This window comes from Homo sapiens, chromosome 3 (genome assembly GCF_000001405.40).
Source record: "Homo sapiens chromosome 3, GRCh38.p14 Primary Assembly".
NCBI classification, from domain to species: domain Eukaryota; kingdom Metazoa; phylum Chordata; class Mammalia; order Primates; family Hominidae; genus Homo; species Homo sapiens.
In genome coordinates this window covers 161,706,105-161,711,541 of record NC_000003.12, presented here as the reverse complement: position 1 = coordinate 161,711,541, position 5,437 = coordinate 161,706,105, and the positions used below count along the sequence as shown (strand labels likewise).

Sequence of the window (5,437 nt, the reverse complement as noted above, 5' to 3'; positions counted from 1 at the left end):
ATCCCCTTGAGCAGTGGTTTATAGTTCTCCTTGAAAAGTCCTTCACATCCCTTGTTAACTGTATTCCTAGGTATTTTGTTCTCTTTGCAGCAATTGTGAATGGGATTTCATTCATGATTTGGCTCTCTGTTTGTCTCTTATTGGTGTATAGGAAAGCTTGTGATTTTTGCACATTGATTTTATATCCTGAGACTTTGCTGAAGTTGCTTATCAGCTCAAGAAATTTTTGGGCAAGATGATGGGGTTTTCTAAATATACAATCATGTCATCTGCAAACAGAGACAATTTGACTTTCTCTCTTCCTATTTGAATACCGTTTCTTTCTTTCGCTTGCCTGATTGCCCTGGCCAGAACTTCCAATACTATGTTGAATAGGAGTGGTAAGAAAGGGCATCCTTGTCTTGTGCCAGTTTTCAAAGGGAATGCTTCCAGCTTTTGGCCTTTCAGTATGATATTGGCTGTCGGTTTGTCATAAATAGCTCTTATTATTTTGAGACGTGTTCCATCAACACCTAGTTTATTGAGTGTTTTTAGTGTGAAGGGGTATTGAATTTTATCAAAGGCCTTTTCTGCATCTGTTGAGATAATCATGTGGTTTTTGTCATTGGTTCTGTTTATGTGATGGATTACATTTATTGATTTGCCTATATTGAACCAGCCTTGTGTCCCAGGGATGAAGCCAACTTGATCGTGGTGGATAAGCTTTTTAATGTGCTTCTGGATTGGGTTTGCCAGTATTTTATTGAGGATTTTAACATTGATGTTCATCGGGGATATTGGCCTGAAATTGTCTTTATTTGTTGTGTCTCTGCCAGGTTTTGGTATCAGGATAATGCTGGCCTCATAAAACGAGTTAGGGAGGAGTCCCTCTTTTTCTTTTGTTTGGAATAGTTTCAGAAGGAATGGTAACAGATCCTCTTTGTATCTCTGGTAGAATTCAGCTGTGAATCTGCCTGGTCCTGTGCTTTTTTTGATTGGTAGGCTATTAATTACTGCCTGCATGTCAGAACTTGTTATTGGTCTACTCAGGAATTCCACTTCTTTCTGGTTTAGTCTTAGGAGGGTATATGTGTCCAGGAATTTATCCATTTCTTCTAGATTTTCTAGTTTATTTGCATAGAGGTGTTTATTGAATTCTCTGATTGTAGTTTGTATTTCTGTGCAATCAGTGGTGATCTCCCCTTTATGATTTTTTATTAGGTCTATTTGATTCTCCTCTCTTTTCTTCTTTATTAGTCTGGCTATCTATTTTGTTGATCTTTTAAAAAAAACCCAGCTCCTGGTTTCATTGATTTTTTGAAGGGTTTTCGTGTCTTTATCTCCTTCACTTCTGATCTGATCTTAGTTATTTCTTGTCTTCTGCTAGCTTTTGAATTTGTTTTCTTTTGCTTCTCTAATTCTTTTAATTGTGATGTTATGATGTCCATTTTAGATCTTTCCCGCTTTCTCCTGTGGGCATTTAGTGCTATAAATTTCCCTTTAAACACTGCTTTAGCTGTGTCTCAGAGATTTTGGTACATTGTGTCTTTGTTCTCATTGGTTTCAAATAACTTATTTATTTTTGCCACAATTTCATCATTTACCCAGTAGTCACTGGGGAACAGGTTGTTCAGTTTCCATGTAGTTGTGCAGTTTTGAGTGAGTTTCTTAATCCTAAGTTCTAATTTGATTGCACTGTGGTCTGAGAGACTGTTTGTTATGATTTCCATTTTTTGCATTTGCTGAGGAGTGTTTTACTTCCAATTATGTGGTCAATTTTAAAATAAGTGCTATGTGGTGCTGAGAAGAATGTATATTCTGTTGATTTGAGGAGAAGAGTTCTGTAGATGTCTATTAGGTCCACTTGGTCCAGAGCTAAGTTCATGTACTGAATATCCTTGTTAATTTTCTGTCTCATTGATCTGTCTAATAGTGACAGTGAGGTGTTAAAGTCTCTCATTATTATTGTGTGAGAGTCTAAGTCTTTTCGTAGGTCTCTAAGAACTTGCTTTACAAATCTAGGTGCTCCTGTATTGGGTACATATATACTTAGGATAGTTAGCTCTTCTTGTTGCATTGATCCCTTTACCATTTTGTAATGTCCTTGTCTTTTTTGATCTTTGATGGTTTAAAGTCTGTTTTATCAGAGACTAGGATTGCAACCCCTGCCTTTTTTTGCTTTCCATTTTCTTGGTAAATCTTCCTCCATCCCTTTATTTTGAGCCTATGTATGTCTTTGCATGTGAGATGGGTCTCCTCAATACAGCACCCCGATGTGTCTTGACTCTTCATTTAATTTGCCAGTATGTGCCTTTTATTTTGGGCATTTAGCCCATTTACATTTAAGGTTAATATTGTTATGTGTGAATTTGATCCTGTCATTATGTTGTTAGCTGGTTCTTTTGCCCATCAGTTGATGCAGTTTCTTGATAGTGTTGATGGTCTCTACATTTTGGTTTGTTGTTGCAGTAGCAGGTACCAGTTTTTCCTTTCCATATTTAGTGCTTCCTTCAGGAGCTCCTGTAAGGTAGGCCTGGTGGTGACAAAATCCCTCAGCATTTGCTTGTCTGTAAAGAATTTTGTTTCTCCTTCACTTATGAAGATTAATTTAGCTGGATATGAAATTCTGGATTGAAAATTCTTTTCTTTAAGAATGTCGAATATTGGCCCCCACTCTCTTCTGGCTTGTAGGATTTCTGCAGAGAGATCCGCTGTTAGTCTGATGGGCTTCCCTTTGTGGATAACCCAACCTTTCTCTCCGGCTGCCCTTAACATTTTTTCCTTTATTGCAACCTTGGTGAATCTGATGACTAGGTGTCTTGGAGTTGCTCTTCTAGAGGAGTATCTTTGCACTGTTCTCTGTATTTCCTGAATTTGAATTTTGGCCTATCATGCTAGGTTGGGGAAGTTCTCCTGGATAATGTGTGTTTTCCAGCTTGGTTCCATTCTCCCTGTCACTTTTAGGTACACCAATTAAACATAAGTTTAGCCTTTTCACATAGTTGCATATTTCTTGGAGGCTTTGTTCATTCTTTTTCACTGTTTTTTCTCTAATATTGTCTTGATTTATTTCATTAAGTTGATCTTCAATAACTGATATCCTTCCTTCCACTTCATAGATTCAGCTATTGATACTTGTGTATGCTTCATGAAGTTCTCGTGCTGTGTTTTTCAGCTCCATCAGGTCATTTATGTTCTTCTCTAAACTGGTTATTCCAGTTAGCAATTCCTCTAACCTTTTATCAAGGTTCTTACCTTCCTTGCATTGGGTTAGAACATGCTCCTATAGCTCAGAGGAATTTGTTATTACCCACCTTCTGAAGCCGACTTCTGTCAATTCGTCAAACTCATTCTCTGTCCAGTTTTGTTCCCTTACTGGTGAGGAGTTGTGATCCTTTGGAGGAGAAGAGGCATTCCGGGTTTTGGAATTTTCAGCCTTTTTGTGCTCTTCTTTGTGGATTTATCTACCTTTGGTCTTTGCTGTTGGTGACAGTCAGATGGAGTTTTTGCATGGTCATCCTTTTTATTGATGTTGATGCTATTGCTTTCTGTTTGTTAGTTTTCCTTCTAACAGTCAGGACCCTCTTCTGCAGGTCTGCTGGGGTTTGCTGGGGGTCCACTCCAGACCCTGTTTACCTGGATATCACCAGTGGAAGCTGAGAACAGCAAAGACTGTTGCCTGCTCCTTCCTCTGGAAGCTTCTCCCCAGAGGGGCATCTGCCAGATGCTAGCTGGAGCTCTCCTGTATGAGGTGTCTGTTGAACCCTGCTGGGAGATGTCTCCCCATCAGGAGGCATGGGGGTCAGAGACCCACTTGAAAAGGTAGTCTGTCCCTCAGCAGAGCTCAAGCGCTGTGCTGGGAGATCTGCTGCTCTCTTCAGAGCCAGCAGGCAGAAACATTTAAGTCGCTGAAGCTGCATCCACAGCCACCCCTTCCTCCAGGTGCTCTGTCCCAGGGAGATGGGAGTTTTATCTATAAGCCCCTGACTGGGGCTGCTGCCTTTCTTTCAGAGATCCCCTGCCCATAGAGGAGGAATCTAGCGAGGCAATCTGGCTTCGTGGTGCTGCAGAGGGCTCCGCCCAGTCTGAACTTCCTGGTGGCTTTGTTTACACAGTGAGGGGAAAATCCCCTACTCAAGCCTCAGTAATGGTGGATGCCCCTTCCCCCACCAAGCTCAAGAGTCAAAGGTCGACTTCAGACTGCTGTACTAGCAGCGAGAATTTCAAGCCCACTTAGCTTTCTGGGCTCCATGGGGATGGGATCTGCTGAGCAAGACCCCTTGGTTCCCTGGCTTCAGCCCCCTTCCCAGGGGAGTGAATGGTTCTGTCTTGCTGGTCTTTCATGCACCACTGGGGTACAAAAAAATAAATCCTGCAGCTAGCTCAGTGTCTGCCCAAATGGCCACCCGTTTTGTGCTTAAAACCCAGGAACCTTGTAGTGTAGGCACCCAAAGGAATCTCCTGGTCTGCAGGTTGCAAAGACCATGGGAAAAGCATAGTATCTGGGCCAGATAGCACCATCCCTCATAGCACAGTCCCTCATGGCTTCCCTTGGCTAGAGGAGGGAGTTCCCCAACCCCTTGCACTTCCTGGCTGAGGCAACACCCCACCCTGCTTCTGTCCACCCTCTGTGGGCTGCACCCATTGTCTAACCAGCCCCAGTGAGATGAACTGGGTACTTCAGTTGGAAATGCAGAAATCACCTGCCTTCTTTGTTGGTCTCACTGGGAGCTACAGACTAGAGCTATTCCTATTCAGTCATCTCGCCCAGGAATCTACACAGCCTTTTTTAAGCCTATGTATCACACACAGACTCACTTTCACACATTGGAAGTGTTGGAATTAGCATGCTCATTATGTTCTTGCATAAATAATTTGGTTTTTATCAACAAGGATATAAAGTTCATTCTTAGTCTAAATAAATACATGGAGAATGCCTTACAAGAGATCCAGATTTCCCAATGTTTAGAAGAGAGTTAAGTCTCAACCATCATGCCCACTTCTGACACCAGTCACTGCTGCAGTGATGACAGTAAATTCCAGACTTTCTCTGCTACTTCTTTTTTAAACTTATGTTATCAATCTTTTAATTTTCCACAGTAATCACACTTTTGTTTTCAGTCTTCCTTGCCACATACATATATTACCACTGTTAGAGCTCTAGTTCTAATATTAAAGAAGCAGCATAGTGTATAGGCCTAGAGCATGTTTCAGACTAAGATCTGGAGTCAAATCTAGCAACACAACTCTGATTCCAGATGGCAGAAAGAGCACTTATATCCATCTCCCTTGCACCCCTAATCTGCCTCCATTACATCTCTAAGTCTAATAGGAATTACATCATTAGTAAGAATGATAGATAAAGAAAAGAAGTAAATAAAGATGAATTAAGCATAGGGCTAGAAAACAAGAATCCAGAAGCAGGCCTTGGAAATACTCTAAGTCAAGAATAAGGCAG

At 41.1% G+C, this 5,437-nt stretch overlaps 1 annotated feature.

Annotated features, from left to right (window-relative positions):
* Nucleotides 3,754-4,255: an enhancer, noted in NCBI's record as "H3K27ac hESC enhancer chr3:161425075-161425576 (GRCh37/hg19 assembly coordinates)". NCBI's record gives its function as "activates a minimal SCP1, AML or CMV promoter by ChIP-STARR-seq in naive H9 embryonic stem cells {active_cell/tissue: H9 hESC(naive)}" and the evidence as "EXISTENCE:reporter gene assay evidence [ECO:0000049][PMID:30033119]".